Source organism: Homo sapiens, chromosome 6 (genome assembly GCF_000001405.40).
Source record: "Homo sapiens chromosome 6, GRCh38.p14 Primary Assembly".
NCBI classification, from domain to species: domain Eukaryota; kingdom Metazoa; phylum Chordata; class Mammalia; order Primates; family Hominidae; genus Homo; species Homo sapiens.
The window spans coordinates 73750135-73769170 of NC_000006.12; the positions used below are offsets into that span (position 1 = coordinate 73750135).

A 19036-nucleotide genomic window follows, 5' to 3' on the forward strand; every position below is an offset into this window, starting at 1 on the left:
ATTAGGATTAGTGACTGGATTTCGATTGGAGCAGAGAAGAAAGAGGAGCAAAAGGTACCTGGGAATTTCAAGTTGGGTCTTTGGGAGAATCACCCATATCAGTTCTAGGGAAGTTAGGGATGGAAGCTCAGTTTGGGTGAGTGGTATGAGCTAGATGTATTTGGACTGAGCCATCAGAAATCACATTTAGGAGCAAAGCAGAGAAGCCATCCAAAGCAATAGAGAAAGAACAGCCAGTTTTGGGAAGAGAAAAGCAAGCAAGTTCAGGCACAGAGCAGAGGGCAAGAGATTCAGAGAGAGTGGCTTTCCAGGTGCTGCAGAGGCCTCAAAGGGAGTGAGGCCTGAGAAAGGTGACAGGCGGTTAGAGGAAAGCAACCTGGCATACCGAGCATCTTCTGGGGTCAGTGAAATGGGAGAGGCAGAATCGAGATTTCAAGAGCAATAAAGCGCATAAATAGCTATACATAACATAGCTATGTAATGTAGGGTAATGTATATAATAGTCTACAACTTCTGTTCCTAAGAAGGAGAGAATTAATATGATTATCTGGTGGAGGCAGCAGCAATATAATTTCATTTATGTTATGGTATTCCTATTCTTACTTAACATATTCATGCCCAGTTATTTATGTGTAACTGTGAGGTTGAACATTTATTACTTGACAGGTGAAGTAAAAAAGCACATTATTTTTGTGCCATTTTGTCCTGTTCTTTGGGACGAATTCTTCCCTACTCCTTGGATAAAATGTAGGGAAAATCTCATCATTTTTATGGTTACTCTTTGGTAACAAAAGGTCCTGTCATGTTCGGTTACTTTCATATACACAGTCTACATTCAGTAATTAATATGTCCAGTCTAATAAAATAAAATGCTCCCTTCTCCAGCTCGGGTCTTCTTTGGTCTGGATGCCTGCCTCCAACTCACTAGGCTGCCTTTGACTCCTCCAGACTGAATTGGGTGGAGGAAAGAGAAGTGAGGGGTAACAAAATTCTCATCTGATGTATAAGGATGAGTCATGTGAACTTGCTAATATTTGTCCTGCAAAAATGTCAATTTAATATGGTTCAATGTAATACTGTTGTCATCTGCATGAGACCTGTCTGGGCTAAGACGGCATTTAAAACTACATTTTTCCTTTTTAGAACTCCTTTCTGTATTCCTAGGAGGACCCTTAAGATTGTGGGGAGGTCTTTCATCCAAAGTACCCTGGATGCTTTTGAATCTGTCTCCTCCAAATGGCAGCTCATAACTCCATCTTTAGCTGCTGGGCATCTAGATCACACACCTCAGCTTCCCTCTTCTGAGGGCTTGCCTTATTCCTACTAAGGCTGTTTTGATCAGGATAGAAAACAGTTCCATGCTGACTTGCTCTTTTGGCATATCTAGTTGAGGGAAAATGCTCATGCTTTCTCTGATCCTGAACATTCAGGAGATGCAGACCACTCCTAGCATAGCACACTCTTAGCTCCACTGCCAGCACAAATATTATACCCTTTAGAGTTTTCAGGTGTGTCAACAGCCTGCTCACTGACAGCTTGAGGATGCTCCCAGGGACACATACCTAGTTGTCTGCATTGTCTATGGAAGCCCGTTTCCCTAGGCTTGAAATGAGGGCCAAGCAACTCTACCTGATGCCCCAGGGTGGGGTGAGTGCCACTCCTAGCTCATCGAAAGCTCTCTCCTGAAATTCCCTTCTAGTTTTATTTTTATCTTGACCTTTCCACCTTGGTGATGGGTTAAGAGTTACAAAACCAGTTTTTGGAAACCTCCTTTACAGGTCCTGCATCCTTCACCTGTGGAAGGTGGACATAGTTGACATCTATTGTCTTGGGGGCTAAACGCAAAACTGAGTCTGAAATAGTTCCCTTTTAACCTCCCGTTATGTGCAGATTTAACAAATTCAGTGCCTTTCTTAAAGTAAAAGGTACATCCAGACACTGGAGAGTAGTGCTAAAACAAACTATTAGGGAATTGAAATGACCATAAAAGAACATAATGAACAAACAGAAATAATCCAACCAGCACCTTAGTTTTGATTCTGGCATTGCTTTTTACTCCAGAAGCAAGAGTTGAAAGAAACTGACCTGCATTTTAAAATATATTTTTTAATGGTCATGTAATATGCTATATTTCTTCAAATCTGTTAAAAATAGAAACTCAAGAGTTGGATGGCATCATGGTTAGGGAAGAAAAATTCTGTAACTGGAATAGATGGTTGTAGTAATTCACATGTCTCAATTTGTATTCTAGTCATAACATACTTCTTAAAAGGGTGGTAAAAATAATGTGTTTTCTCTTTCCCACTTCATTTGTCTAATTTCTGTAACATACACCCTCACAATGAATTATTGACTCAGGGACAAGAGGTAGAGAAATTACAGAGGTTGCTAAGAATACCTGCTGACTCTTATTTTCTACTTCTGCTTTAGAAGTTGTTTAGAAAATCTAATCAAGGCCGTCTTACATCCAGTAGAAACAGAGAGTTTCTACTGGATGTGCTTTGGAGCAGGTTTTTAAGAGAGAGCTTTCCCCATGGAAGAGTGACCATATTGGGGAAAGAAGAGCTCAGGAGACATGAGTTATGCTTCTCTTGCCTGGGGAGGTGTTTGCTTAAAAGACATGCTGCCCAAGTATTTAAGCCTTCAGGTTAGGGTCTTTTTTCCAGTTGTTGGCAGAGTGAATGAGCATGAACTGTATTTGATGAACTACAGTTAACACAAATACTCATTTTGAAGCAGATAAAATTATTTTGAAAGTGAAGGAAAATTGTTTCATAAGAGAAACTTGTACTTCCTACGAAAAGACTGTGTTTTTTTGCTCCATGTTTTTAGTAAAGTTTAGTCAAATTTAGTTTAGTTCACCTAGAACGAACACTGAACAATTTGGAAATACATTTTATTCCTTTTTTTAAACTAGAGGTTAGCAAACCCTGGCAGAAAAACCAAATGTAGCCTGACACCTGTTTTTGTGAATAAAGATTTATTGGAACATAGTCGTGCTCGTTTGTTTACAAATTGTGTCTGGCTACATTTGCATTGCAACAGCATTGTTAAGTAGTTGGGACAGAGACCATATGGCCTGCAAAGCCTAAAATATTTACTATCCCACTCTTTACAGGAAAAGTTTGCAGATCCCTGTTCTAGATTAATGAAAGTACTCAGTATCAGTGTTTTTGTGGTTATATATGGCATAAATGGCTATTAATTCTCTGAATTATTATTAATTTTAAATATTTCAGTATCTTTTGTACTTGATTATATATCTCATTAAAATAATTGAATTAATTCTGAAAATTGGTATGGTCTGTTTGCCTAATGGACAATACACTGGACATTACAAAACTAATTTCTGCTTTTCAAATCCCTTGGACAGTAAAATAATTTATTTCTTGATTTGCATTTTACCACATATGAGCACCTTGGGAAGACATTGTGTAGTAGAAAGCATACTGTCAGCACCCACTTCCAAAATGTTTTCTAGATTTATTGGAACAATTTAAAATGTCAGTGAAAAGAAGTACTTTTCTTCCTTTGTGTTCTTCATTTTTCTATGATGGCTGGATGCATTCACTCCTTGGGGCATTCATGTTCCTTCCTTAAAGGGCAGAGTTAAGGTTACTCTGTGGGTCATTTGCCTCTTCAGGGTTGTTTGATCCTTCTCAAGAGAAGATTATTTTAATGTATTGCAGGAGATGCTGCCTGATAACTGAGGCTGATCTGTTGAGCACTGTAGGAACCAGACTGGGGACAAGAATTGACTCATTTATTCATTTATACTTATGTTTATTCAACAAACGTTGAAGGCATGCTTTACTAGGTTCTGTGCTCTCAAGGATTTCATAGTCTCTTACAGGAGATGGACACAAAGCAAATGATTATCATATACTGTGTTAGGCAAGATGATTGAGTTATAGTCAGGATATTATAGGAGAGAAGGGGCATCTAATCCACCATGGGGAGAGGGCAATCAAGAAAAGCTATTTGAAAGAGGCTAAATCCAGATCAATAAATCCAGGACATTCTGTCAGAAATTCAGATGGAGATGTCTGGCAGGTGGATTTGAGTCTCAATCTGGGATAGAGATAAGGATTTAGGTGTCTTTATTCTAGGAATGGCAGTTAAAACCCTGAGAGCTGATGAGAGCCTGAAGAGTGGGAAGAGGGCTCAGCATGGGAAAGGCCAACATTTAAGGATCAGAAAGAGATGCATAAAGGAAACAAGGAAGGGGTCAGAGAGATAATTAGGAATACCAAGAGAACAAAAGACAATGGTGTTTAGAGACTGAGTGAGGGGAAGGAGACGGTCAATGGAAAGATGGAAAATCCAGGATTGATCAGGGACTGGCAATGTAGGAGGCAGAGGGGAGATGGAATTCATTTCAAATATTCTAATGTAAACTACTTATGTGTTAAACAAATGATGACCTAAAACTTAGTTTCAGGCTGTTGTTTAAAGTAGGCTCAAATAAGTAAGTTGATTTCCTATATTTGTAAAAGCTAATAATTTTTATTTAATCAAACACACATTTATTGAGCACTTATTTTGTACTAGGTGCTATAACAGGTTGGCACCCTAAGGGATAAACTATGCGGGATATAAAAATGATCAAAAAGTGAAGTAGTAATATTTAAGCTAAGCCCTGGAAAATGGGGAGGGATGGAAGTACATATAAGTCAAGAATAGGCAAGAGTTAGAGCAAAAACACAGTGCATGAAACCCCAGGACACTGTCAGTCTTGAATTATTGTTCTTGACTATGTCTGTCTCCACCACTAGACTCTCTAATGCTGAGGACTGTGATTTATAGAGCCTCACATGGTGTTTTGCATGTTGTATTTACTCAATTAATGTTTGCTATATGAATGAAACTTGAGAAACAGAAACATCATAATTGTTACTTATTCCATAGTCTTGTCTGTGCTGGCCTCAGTAATAAAGCAAAAACTAACTTAAAGACTAGCATTCTTATGTTCATTAGTAAAACAGGTAATAGATAAATTACCTTCTTGATTTGACTTTTGAGAATGACGTGTTAGAACTTATAAATGAATCAAATACGTGTAATTTATAATGTTACTATATGATATGAAAACAATTTGAGATAGAAGTCATAAATATGAAGTTTCTTAAGACTTTGATCAAAACAACAAAATTTCTTTGAGATTTTCTTTTTTTAAAACTTTTATTTTTCAACAACAGCTAACCAAAGATGGGATCTTCTTTACATGACAATGTTGAAGCCAATTGATACACAATTTATTTGTTAGCGTGTTAGTGGTTCTATTTGTTTTATATTTTGAAGTGAACTATGGCCTTCTTTTAGGACTGAAAAATAACTTCGTGGTGTACAGATATTTTAGATTAACCAAGGGTACTTGTTAACAAAAGCTATTATTTTATAGCTGCATCTCCGTGTTTGATTTGATAAATTTGGGAATTAAATTTACAATGCAAATTTCATTAGTGGAATTACATAGCCAATTTGGAGAGGTTCTATTTAATGTGCTACCTTGATTTAGAATGAGCGATTTAGAAATATGAAGAGTTGACTGGGCATGGTGTCTCATGCCTGTAATCCTAGGACTTTGGGAGGCTGAGGTGTGATTGCTTGAGCTCAGGAGTTTGAGACCAGCCTGGGCAACATGGCAAAATCCTGTTCTACTTAAAAAAAAAAAAAATTAGCTGGGCATAGTGACTTGCCCCTGTGGTCCCAGCTAGTTGGTGGGCTGAGGCAGGAGAATCGCTTGAGTCCAGGAGGTTGAGGCTTCAGTGAGCTGTGTTTGTGCCACTATACTCCAGCCTGGGTGACAAAGTGAGACCCTGTCTGAAAAAACAAAAACAAAAACAAAAGCAACAAAAAAAGGAGAAATATGAAGAGTTAGATAAATGATACGATAATAGCCCACGTTTTCTTGTTGATTGTGGAAAAGGAAATAATTAACAGTATCTATTATAACCACATAGGATGTATTGATTTAAGAATTACAGTAGAAAATAATTCAAGGAATTGGAAAAGTGAGGCATGTTGTTCTATGAAGATTTTGCATCCTTAATTATTTATAAGTATTTGAGTTATGTGTAACTTCATTTTCTCCATTAATTTTTGATAATGATATCCAAAACAAATCTGCAGTTATTTGTTAGTTTGACCTGTGTTATCTTTGCTTCATAAATTCCTCAATTATCTAGTTTAATCTAGTTCTTATTTCACAAATGATGGAAGTCAGATTAAGCAGTTTGTTTAAATGACCCGCAATGAATTATAGAGATAGGTCACCATTTTATGCTAACGGGTTGGCAAGAAAAATTCATGAAATTTTACAGGCTTCATGTTGCAGTTGTCTACAAATACACTTCCATAAATGAAAATAAACAAGTTTGTTCATTGCATCATTATAAATGTAATTTAAAAATTAATTTTCTAAATTGTTTTATGCAAGTAAGTAAGCAAGCAAAATAAATAAGAACTCATATACTTTCCTGTCTTTTTTTTCTCCCCTGCCCAATAGGACCAGACATACTATCAATCATTTCAGGTTTCAGAATATGGTAAGAGTTCCTCAATCTATTTTGGAAGAAAAAAACATTTGTTACTTTCAGCAGAGATTAGAGAAATTTTTAAGAGATGTATTATTTGAAGTAAAAATCTCAATGGAGTTAAAATTCTGGTGTTTTTTAAAGGCCTAACCATATTTTTTTTCCTTTGTAAAAATTCTAAAATCTCATTATACAGAAAAAAGTAGAAAAAAATCACCTATAGTTGCATTGTGCTAGTCTTTTTCTTATCCACAACATGATTTTTCTATTTTTCTACTTTGTTGTGATAAAAAAATATTTAAAGTGTTGCACTTAAAAATACTTAACAAATTCTCTTCCATATTTTTCATTTGATTGACATTGGTAAAGATGGTCTGTTTCTCAGGTAAATCCTCTTCTTGCAGGTGCCATACTTACAATATCTGTTAGAAACCCATAGATAAAAACAGTGGGACCCATCTATTTTGTTGGTGAATGGAGAGGAATGAGAGATGAGACTGAAAGCATAGGATCTTAGTATTAGTTATAATTTGAATAGTTATTTTGAGGTTGCACATGCAGTTTTTCATTTGATTTGAGCTTCTTTTTTGAGATTGGGTTTTATTTAGGCAGTAGAAATTATAATATACAGGTAGTAATACCTCAGGCTCTGTGGGCCATATGTCTCTGTTGTTACTACTCAATTTTGCCGTGGTAGCATGAGAGCAGCCAAAGATAATATGTACATGAATGTTGCTGTGGTTCAATAAACTTTATTTTATGGGCATGAAAATTTGAATTTCATATAATTTTCATATGTCATGAAATATTCTTCTTCTTTTGATTTTTTTCAACCAGTTAAAAATTGTAAAAAATGTTCTTGGTTCATGCTGGTCATAGTTTGCTGAACTCTGATCTGTAACTGTGCTCTCCAGTAGCGGGGCCACTTGCCATGTGTGGCTGTTGAGCACTTCAAATGTGGCTAGTCCAGATGGAGACAGCAGATGTCAAAGACTTAGTACAAGAAAAATGAAAGAAAGAAAAATAGTTCATTAATAACCATTTTTAAATTTTTATTATTTGTTGAAAAGATACTATTTTAGATATATAGGGTTAAGTAAAATATAAAAATTAATTTCACCTGCTTATTTTTACTTTAAAAATTTGACTACTAGAAATGAAAAATTACACATATGGCTCCCATTTTATGTCTTTTAGACAGCCCTGATCTAGAAGAATAAGTCATAGGGGACCAACATTTTTATAGGCTATCTTTATATCCCATTGTGATGGTATGCTGGGTGGTTGTATGTTGTTGAATGAGGTATAGTGGAGGTGGGGAATTGATTGCAAACCTATGATGTTTGAGGAAGAGGCATTTGGATTTTCTTGGTGGTGGGGGTTGCGGGGGCGGGGTCATAGTTGACTCACGTGACTTTTTGGTCTCCCTGTCCTAGACTGATCTAGAGTCTAGGAGTGTCTTGGTACATTCAGGGCCATTAGCCTTGATTGGAGCTGAAGGTCTGCCCTATATTGTTGACTATTTGGCTTTTTTGATACTTCTCTTATGTTAATTGAATGGTGAGGTGCCTTGTTATGAGAGTGGCCTGTTTCTTTGGTCAGAGAACTATAGAAAAAAAGTTTTATCGACTGTAAAGAAACACACATTTTTTACTCTGGTGGAGTGCTTTATATCAATTATAGTATTAGTACTTATAAAATAGTTTATACCTTAATTATTATTATTATTTTTCGAGACGGAGTCTCACTGTGTCACTCAGGCTGGAGTGCAGTGGCATGATCTCGGGTCACTGCAACCACTGCCTCCTGGGTTCAAGCGATTCTCCTGCCTCAGCCTCCTGAGTAGCTGGGATTACAGGCATGCACCACCATGCCCAACAATTTTTGTATTTTTAGTAGAGATAGGATTCACCATGCTGGCCAGGCTGGTCTTGAACTCCTGACCTCAGGTGATCCACCTGCCTCTGCCTCCCGAGTTCTAGAATTACAGGCGTGAGCCACTACTCCCAGCCTCATACCTTAATTATATAAAGCTGACCAAATTAGGGATTTCTAGTTTTGGGTGAAACAAAGGGCTTTTCATCTGTCTTAATATGTATTTGGATTCTAATAAATTTAAGTTCAAATAGTACAAATTATTAACTCCTTCACAACAATTTTATTTTTCATTTTATTCAGTGGAAGATGATAGTGAAGTAGATTCTTTAAAAGATTTACCCTTGCTTCTTCGTCTCAAAAAGAAAAAAAGATTTACCCTTGCTTTTCTTTTCCAGTATTACCAAAATTTGAAGTGACTTTGCAGACACCATTATATTGTTCTATGAATTCTAAGCATTTAAATGGTACCATCACGGCAAAGTAAGTGTCATTTTTCTTTTGATATGACTCAAAACCATTATAAAACTGTGTGACCAAAAGCTGATTGTATACTTCAGAATATTAGGGCAATTTTTGCTTATTAAAATACCTTAGTGGACAGTAAATGACTATTTATAATAAATAATTAAGCATGGGACAGAGCTCCACATTTCACTGCATCTATCACTCTGCTTGCAAGCCGACCCAGTCTTAAAATATTTCCCATATTTCTTAGACTTATTAAGGGATTTATATTATAGATAGCACTGTTTTTTTTTCAGATGACATGGACTTGAAGCCACCACGCCTGGCTAATTTTTTTTCCTTTATAGAGATGGGGTCTTGCCATTTTCTCCAGGCTGGTCTTGAACTCCTGGCCTCACATGATACTCCTGCCTTGGTCTCCTAAAGTGCTGAGACTACAGGCATGTTCCACCACTCCTGGGCTGATTTGCTTTTTAAAAATTAGTCAAGCTTTTATTTTCTGAGTGATTAACTTATCCCAAATGCTTCCCGGTTCTATTTGGGACAATAATTGTATCTTTGTTTCACAATTATTATAACCAGCTTGGTGTTTGGAAAACTAAATCTGCTTCACATTAAAGTCAAAATTAAAAATTTTTATGTCTGAGAGTACTTTAAATTATATTTGGATTTTAAAGATCCTTTTACTACCATGTGATATAACTCTGTTAAAATACAATATCCTGGCATTCTAGTTTTGCTTTTATTTAATCTTTAGCACGATACAAGTAGAGTCAGGTTTCGAAGACTCTTGAATGAGTGAATTTGATGCTCAGGTTGCTAACCAGGGTTTCCACTGACTTTACTGTTTTTGTTTGGAAGTGTGGTGCATTTGAACTTGGATTTTTTTTTTTTTCTTCTTAGTTTGGAATATGCTATATTTTAAGATTTGCTTTTGAGTTGAGTTGATCCAGATGAGGGGCTGTTTCTGTGTTCAGTTAATGGATTCAGGAAGCCGCCGTTTACTGCTGTGATTTATAGACTGCAAAGCAAAATTGACTTCCATGTCTGGCTCAGCATTTCACAATAGAGATAGAAGCAACCCAGGAAATGTACTTAAAAAAGGCTTTCTGGGCCGGGCGCAGTGGCTCACGCCTGTAATCCCAGCACTTTGGGAGGCCGAGGCGGGCGGGTCACAAGGTCAGGAGATCGAGACCATCTTGGCTAACACGGTGAAACCCCGTCTCTACTGAAAATACAAAAAATTAGCCGGGCGCGGTGGCGGGCGCCTGTAGTCCCAGCTACTCGGGAGGCTGAGGCAGGAGAATGGCGTGAACCTGGGAGGCGGAGCTTGCAGTGAGCCGAGATTGTGCCACTGCAGTCCGGCCTGGGCTAAAGAGCGGGACCCCGTCTCAAAAAAAAAAAAAAAAAAAAAAAAAAAAAAGCCTTTCTGGCAGTAAAATGTATTGCCTCTTCTTCACATGAAGAGACTTTCCTATAATGAGAGAGGATAAAATTAATACATAGAAAGAAAAGTAGCAGAGAATATTTGACTTACGAAGCTAAGTTTGGGCCAGGTGAGGTGGCTCGTGCCTATAATCCCAGCACTTTGGGGGGCCAAACTGGGTGGATCACTTGAGGTCAGGAGTTTGAGACCAGCCTGGCCAATATGGTGAAACTCCATTTCTACTGAAAATACAAAAATTAGCTGGGTGTAGTGGCAGACGCCTATAATCCCAGCTATTCGGGAGGCTGAAGCAGAGAATTGATTGAACCTGGGAGGCAGAGGTTGCAGTGACCCTAGATCGCACCACTGCACTCCAGCCTGGGTGACAGAGCGAGACTCTGTCTCAAAAAATAAAATAAAATAAAATTCGCTGGACGTGGTGGTGTGCGCTTGTCATCCCAGCTACTCAGGAGGCTGAGGCAGGAGAATCTCTTGAACCCCTGAGGTGGAGGTTGCAGTGAGCCGAGATCATGCCACTGCATCCAGCCTGGGTGACAGAGTGAGACTGTGTCTAAACACACACACACACACACACACACACACACACACACACACACACACACACACACACAAACCCAGAAACTAAGTTTGGTACTACAGATTTTAAAAATTATTCTTATTTTAAATTTTTTGGCAAAAAATCAATTTTTGACAGCCATGAGCACATTTGGTGCTTCAGAATCTATGGTGTAATAAACCTTCCTCGCTAATATTGGAACATGTAGCAATAGACCATGGTGATTGCACTATCAGCTGACATTTAAAAATCTTCTAAAGCTGCGAAGTTTCGTGGGCATTCAGTTAATGGGCCAGTCCAGATTTCTAGGAGTGAAAGATTTATGTAATCTTTAAAAAATCTTTGGACAGGAAACTGTCACTTCCAATTATGATCAGGTATTTTCTGGAGTCTTTCAGATGGTCAGAGGTTGGGCAGAGTGTGTGTTAAGAACTGTTTTAAGCTACTATAGTTAAAAGTCTTCCCATTTTGGAAACTTAATTTCAAGGATCACCATTTATTTTTTATTTATTTATTTATTTTTTGAGTTGGAGTCTCACTCTGTTGCCCAGGCTGGAGTGCAGTGGCACGATCTTGGCTCACTGCAGCCTCCACCTCCTGGGTTCAAACAGTTCTCTGCCTCAGCCTCCAAGTAGCTGGGATTACAGGCACCCACCACCACGCCTGGCTAATTTTTTTGCATTTTTAGTAGAGATGGGGTTTCACCATCTTGGCCAGGCTGGTCTTGAACTCCTGACCTCGTGATCCACCAGCCTCGGCCTCCCAAAGTGCTGGGATTACAGGCATGAGCCACCGTGCCCATCCAGGATCACCGTTTATTAAAGACATTTTTGTTGGGTTTAGTTTAAAAAATTATAGTAGGAGTATGTTTTTAATGTAACTTTTTTCTTTTTAAAATTTTCTCTTTTTAGTGTTTTGCCATCCCATAATGTATTTTTTTTTAATTTATTTATTTTGAGACAGAGTCTTGCTGTCTTGCTGTGTTGTCCAGGCTGGAGTGCAGTGATGCGATCTCGGCTCACTGCAACCTCCACTTCCTGGGTTCAAGCAGTTCTCCTGCCTCAGCCTCCAAAGTAGCTGGGAGTACAGGTGCCTGCCACCATGCCCAGCTGATTTTTGTATTTTTAGTAGAGACAGGGTTTCACTATGTTGGCCAGGCTGGTCTTGCACTCCTGACCTCGTGATCCACCCGCCTCGGCCTCCCAAAGTGCTGGGATTACAGGCGTGAGCCACCGCTCCCAGCCCAATGTAATTTTTTAAAATGTTAGATTGCTAATTGCTAATGTATGCTATTGAAAGTAGTATTTTTATTGTGTTCTGACAATATCAAGTTGATACATAAAAAGACTATGTTTATAATTATTCAGGTATACATATGGGAAGCCAGTGAAAGGAGACGTAACGCTTACATTTTTACCTTTATCCTTTTGGGGAAAGAAGAAAAATATTACAAAAACATTTAAGGTAACTTTTGCAGACACTTTATAACTTGTGATGGGTAAAATATGTGTATTTTTCTAGAAATAAGATTTAGTACTGAATTAACAAAAAGTTAAGTGTAAGAAAATCAAGAGCTTTCCAGCATTGAACAAATGAGAATTTATGCAATTATAGCGATTAAAATGGTACCAGAGCTATCATATTGTTGTGACTTAGTTTGAGTTTTATTTCTAAAATTTGAATTGCTAAAATGGTAAATAATACTGAACTTTTAAACAAAACAGATAAATGGATCTGCAAACTTCTCTTTTAATGATGAAGAGATGAAAAATGTAATGGATTCTTCAAATGGACTTTCTGAATACCTGGATCTATCTTCCCCTGGACCAGTAGAAATTTTAACCACAGTGACAGAATCAGTTACAGGTTTGTAGACTTTAAAGTGGAGGTAAAACTATTCATGTGACACTGCTTTATCATCTTTCTTATTATAACTGGCACTTTCATTTGGGAGCATCATTGACTTTCTAAAGATGCTATTTAATGTTGAAATTGTTATGACTGTTAGTCTAAGTTGCAGGATGATTTTATAAGGGGGACCTTATTTTCTATGAAAGTCACTACTTCAACCACATGTGATAGCTCTTCTTAATTTTTTTTTCCATTTCTACTCTTTCCCCCTGAAAACTACATGGAAAGGCTTACATTTTCAGCTGGTAACCTTCTTCTTTTTAAAATCACTGAAATCTCAGCTGTTCCTAGACAGTTTTCACTTTTAATAAGAAAATAAAGTTGAGTTTCTTGGACCTTTCTGTTACTATTTCAACAACTTTAGCCAATCCCTGAAAGAGCAAAAGACTATTCTTTCATTGGCCTTAATTTGCTGCTGTTGTACATGTCACTGCGGTAGAATGGCAGCAATGGTGCTTAGAGGGGATCCATAGAGAACATAATAGAACTGTGTGGTGCTTGTAGTGTCAAAGTCAATATGGGAATGAGGCTTATGTGCCCTGATATTTTTAACCCTTTTTGCAATAGGTTAGATGGAGAGATTTGGTGGATAGAAGCTTTGGGTGAAACATTACTTTTGCTTTCTAAATTGTGCAATTTCCAAAAAAGGTATTTCAAGAAATGTAAGCACTAATGTGTTCTTCAAGCAACATGATTACATCATTGAGTTTTTTGATTATACTACTGTCTTGAAGCCATCTCTCAACTTCACAGCCACTGTAAGTTGGTATATTTATTTCCAGTCCATAGCAGTAAGTTCAGCTTAATGAAATAGAATGGGAAATAATATTTTCAATGCTTTTCTAAAAATTTAAGCCAAAAAGTATATAACTTTGTCTCTTTAGACATGTGGGGCATGTAGATTTGTTTCCAAATGACCTTTGTCTATTTTTTCTAAAAAAGTAGTTTTCAACAACAGTAAAAATATTTTTTGAAAATGTATTTTTTTTTACAAGCAATTTAAGTTAGATGTGGATTGCTACACTGAAGCTTTTATTAATTAATTGAAATAATTACATGGTAGTCAAAAATTTCAATTTCAATTTGGTTTTTATAATGATTAATTGTAGTTCTAACAAAGATGTTACATTAAAAAATTATCAACAAATCTCATTTTTTGGAGATAATGTTGAATTAACACATTAATTGTGTGAATGTTGACAATGAGCAAGGCATGGTGTTGGGCAGGGCTATAGAGCCAAGAAGGGCTCAGTCCCTACCCTCAGGTTCACAGTTTTTGTGATGGTGACAGGAAAATATATACTTAACTATAACTCATGGCAGATTAAGATTAGTGTTACAAATTAATTTCTGTAGGGATTTAAAGCAGGGGTTGCCAAACTTTTTCTGCAAAGGGCTAGAGAGTAAATATTTTCAGCTTTGTGGCCATGTGGTCTTTGTCACAGCTACTCAGCCCTGCCATTGTAGTGTGAAAGCAGCCATAGCCAATTTATAAATAAGTGAGAGTGGAATGTGTTCCAGTAAAACTTTGTTTACAAACATACTGGATTGGCCTATCAGCTTGCAGTAGTTGGCTGATCTCTGATTTAAAGAAAGGAGGAGTCAGGCCTGGCGTGGTGGCTCATGCCTGTAATCCCAGCACTTTGGGAGGCCGAGGCAGGCGGATCACCTGAGGTTAGGAGTTCGAGACCAGCCTGACCAACATGGAGAAACCCCATCTCCACTAAAAACACAAAAAATTAGGCGGGCGTGGTGGCACATGCCTGTAATTCCAACTACTCGGGAGGCTGAGGCAGAAGAATCGCTTGAACCCGGGAGGCGGAGGTTGTGGTGAGTGGAGATTGCGCCATTGCACTCCAGCCTGGGCAACAAAAGTGGAACTCCATTTCAAAAAAAAAAAAAAAAACAACTAAAACGACAAAGAAAGAATGGAGGGGTCACTTGTTGAATGGGTCGGTAGACGTTTCAGGTAGTTTCTGATTTCAATGATCTTAATTTAGGCAGTTTGAAAAGGTCAGTTTAAAAAATTGAGGCTGCAAATGGTAATTTCTGAATGAGTAGAGTGAAACCATGGGCGTTCAGAGGGGGAGAGTTGGCTGTGGGATAGGCATGGGGGTTACTATGGGATGCTTTATGGAAGAGGATGGTCTAAACTGTTTTTTAAAAGATTAGTTGTGTTTTAAATGCTTGGGCATGGGAGTGGGAGGTGGGGAGCAAGATAAGAAGTGAGACAAGAAGGAGAGGTCTGGCTGGCAATTTCGGGGTGCACTCAGGTAGTGTTTGAGGGAGACTGCTCAGGCTGTGTGCAGGAGGATGGCTGTAGCCCAGGAGTGAGGGGATGGGCAGCCTTGTGGTGGTAGCTGTGGGAGTGGAGAGGATGGAAGAGAGAAGCATAGGACTTTGGTGTTCATTGGATTTGGGGGGTGGGGAGAGGGAGGGAAAATTCAGAAATGTAAAGTCTTGCAAAATCCTGATGTTAGCGAAAATAGGAAAATGACATGGTTGCTCATTTTAGATATGTGAATTCAAGGTGTCCAGGATATCCAAGTAGAAATTTCCTGCAGGTAACTGGAGGTGTTGGGCATGAACTCCAGAGAAGGGCAAGGATGGGAATTTTGGCTTTAGGGTACAATCACAGAGATGACAAGCTAAGCAATAGGATTGCTGAGACCTTGGAGGAAGGGAGAAGAACAGATGTCCAAAATTCCCACATTTAGGGAGAGGAAAGAGGAACTGAAAAGGACACTGAGAGGATGCAGAAAGAGAGGTAGGAAGTGAAGGGGGTTATTTTGGAGCCGCGGAAGTTAAGGGAATCCATAATATTAACAAGGGAGTAATCAGTGATGTTGGATGCCTCCTAGAGAGAGGCCACTGAATCTGGATATTATAGTGCTACCAATAATTTTTGAGAGTTCAATTTCATGAGAATACTACAGACGGAAACTGTATTTAATCGTACTTAAATCCTTTGTGTTTTTAAGATGTTTTGTTTTGACCATTAGGTGAAGGTAACTCGTGCTGATGGCAACCAACTGACTCTTGAAGAAAGAAGAAATAATGTAGTCATAACAGTGACACAGAGAAACTATACTGAGTACTGGAGCGGATCTAACAGTGGAAATCAGAAAATGGAAGCTGTTCAGAAAATAAATTATACTGTCCCCCAAAGTGGAACTTTTAAGATTGAATTCCCAATCCTGGAGGATTCCAGTGAGCTACAGTTGAAGGTGCCGTCTGTTTCCCATCATTGTGTCACTGCAACAACACCATTACAGTTGTAATCTTGTGGTAGGCACTCAACCTGTCAGAACTGAAAGTACATAGGAAGTGGACACATGTTTCTGTTTCACAAAATGGAGGAGAGTGGTAAAAGTAATTTAATGACAGTGGCTGAAGGTTAGACTAAATTTTTCCTTGTAAGTTCATTTTGAAGAGCACAGTAAAATATAGCAATGTGAAGATATGATGGAGAATTTCCTCAAATCCCCAGTCTAGTGTTTGAGGTCAGTCATTTGAAATTTTATTTTGGCAGGAATTGAAATGAAAGATAAATATATATACATATATATATATACACACATATATATGTATATGTATATGTGTGTGTGTATATATATATATATATATTCCTTTCCTGTGTTTTAAAGCTATCAGTTTCTTTACAGTATAAGCTATAAAATGATGAAAATCCAATGTCTGGTGAATGTATTTTTCTTGCATTAAAAAAAAGTGAAGATGAATTTGGTCTTTAATAATTGTTCAGCAGGTAACATCTTTTCTCAAGGTGTTACTAAAGATGAACATTTACAGCTCCTTTTTCTTTTATTATAGGCCTATTTCCTTGGTAGTAAAAGTAGCATGGCAGTTCATAGTCTGTTTAAGTCTCCTAGTAAGACATACATCCAACTAAAAACAAGAGATGAAAATATAAAGGTAATGCTTACAATTCACTTGAGAATTACAATATAATTGGACTATCTTGCTTTTGATATGTACATATTAATTAAGGTTTTTTTCTAGGTGGGATCGCCTTTTGAGTTGGTGGTTAGTGGCAACAAACGATTGAAGGAGTTAAGCTATATGGTAATCTCTTATAGAATCTAAATTTATGATCTATTATAGAATCATCTTTTTATTCACTTTTAAGTTCTGGGGTACATGTGCAGGTTTGTTATATAGCTAAACTCATGTCATGGGGGTTTGTTGTACAGATTATTTCATCACCCAGGTATTAATCCTAGTACCCATTAGTTATTTTTCCTGATCCTCTCCCTCCTCCTACCCTCCACCCTCCCATAGGACCCAGTGTCGGTTGTTCCCCTCTATGTGTCCATGTGTTCTCATCATTTAGTGTGCACTTATAAGTGAGAATATGTGGTATTTGGTTTTCTGTTCCTGCATTAGTTTGCTAAGGATAGTGGCCTCCAGCTCCATCCATCTTCCTGCAAAGGACATGATTTTATTCTTTTTTATAGCTGCATAGTATTCCGTAGTATATGTGCACCACGTTTTCTTTATCCAGTCCACCTTTGATGGGCATTTAGGTTGAGAATCATCTTAAATGGTGTCTACCTTATATCTACACTAAACTTATTAATTTTTATAACTCAGCCTCATACCTTTTTAGCCTGTCGTTTTAACATTGCAATCAAATAAAAAACCTTTTTTATTTCTTCACCTATGTTTGCATTTCCAATTTAAAATAGATAACTAAACCTTGTTTTATGTTTAAAATTTAAATTTCTATTTGATAAGCAATATATATTCATTATAGAAAATTATACAATGTAAGAAAAATGAAAAAGAAAATAAAAAGTGCTATCCATGACCATGTAATTTTGCTAATTCAGCTTTCCCAATGGTGCCCTGTATTCCTTGCAATCAAAAATAGATTCTTGACTATGAAGCTACTGTTGCTCCAATCAGTATTACTTTAATCTTACCATTTTCTTTTTCTCAGTGTATGCTCTCTGTGTTTGTCAGAGAGGTTTTCCTGCATTCCAAAAGACTTTGAAGCTGGTTTAATTCAAGAATTTGTGTGTATGCATACAATTATGATTAATGTAGCTTCAGATGAGATCCTACTAGGTTTGGCAATAAATTAAACCCATCTACTGTTCTTTTCAGGTAGTATCCAGGGGACAGTTGGTGGCTGTAGGAAAACAAAATTCAACAATGTTCTCTTTAACACCAGAAAATTCTTGGACTCCAAAAGCCTGTGTAATTGTGTATTATATTGAAGATGATGGGGAAATTATAAGTGATGTTCTAAAAATTCCTGTTCAGCTTGTTTTTAAAAATAAGGTAAGATTTAAGGTAATGATGTTTAAAAGAAAACTTTATATTAGTGAAGTCTGAGAAATGTAATATTTCTTTAGAAAAGTATCATTAAGCCAAACTGGTTAGAAATTTATATTATTCTATTTCTAGAACTATGGTTAAACTTTTCAATATTTAGCATTACATATATATTTTCACTTGTGGAGTTATTGGGGATTGATAGTCTATTTGTAAACTATGGTTCTGGTCTTTAAGACTTTAACTCAGATCATGAAGCTGTTTCAGAATTTTTCAAATGGTTGAATTAATATTGCTCAGGAGTGAAATTCCAGTGGTAACATAGAATTCGTGTGGTGTTGATATTGCAGTGATATAAAGGGTGTGGGAAGGAGTGAGGCCATCTAGGATAATACGTAGAAGCAGAGCTGGGCTTTCATTAATCTATTTAATTAGCTGGAAACTAGCCCAGGGCAACTTTTCAATGAGCTTGATTACCCTGCATGTGAGGATCTGTGTGGAGTCTGGTCTCCAAGTGCACCAGTGCCTTTTATAGCCTAATGTGACCAGCTTGAGTAGGAAATCCCTTTGGACCCCAGCTCTGAAAAGAAACCTGATTGCATCATCTCATGTATATAAGAATGAGCCATTGCTGTCACTAACAACTGCTGCCCTCTCCATCCTCTTATGTAAAAAATTATTCCTTTAAATAGTGATTTGCAGAGTATGGTTCTTCTATTTCTTTTTCCTTTATTTGTTAAAATATTTGAGAAGTAACAGTAGTGATCTGTACTTTCTTTTTTAAAATTTGTATTTATTTATTTTTTGAGACTAGGTTATAAGACTGGCTAATTTTTGTATTTTCGGTAGAGAGAGGGTTTTGCCATGTTGCTCAGGTTGGTCTCTAACTCCTGGGCTCAGGAGATCCACCTGCCTCAGCCTCTCAAGGTGCCGGGATTACAGACA

General features: G+C 37.4%; 1 protein-coding gene across 9 annotated transcripts in view; it reads left to right on the top strand.

Annotated features, from left to right (window-relative positions):
* CD109 (CD109 molecule) overlaps nt 1-19036 on the top strand; it is a 149122-nt gene that overhangs the window by 70943 nt on the left and 59143 nt on the right. For all 9 annotated transcript variants that reach the window (XM_047418211.1, XM_047418212.1, NM_133493.5 and 6 more), the window contains 9 exons: nt 6509-6548; nt 8810-8894; nt 12250-12346; nt 12607-12748; nt 13442-13551; nt 15796-16020; nt 16625-16726; nt 16814-16876; nt 17921-18097. In XM_047418211.1, coding sequence (XP_047274167.1) covers nt 6509-6548; nt 8810-8894; nt 12250-12346; nt 12607-12748; nt 13442-13551; nt 15796-16020; nt 16625-16726; nt 16814-16876; nt 17921-18097 — 1041 coding nt within the window. The remainder of the gene's footprint in view (nt 1-6508; nt 6549-8809; nt 8895-12249; nt 12347-12606; nt 12749-13441; nt 13552-15795; nt 16021-16624; nt 16727-16813; nt 16877-17920; nt 18098-19036) is intronic.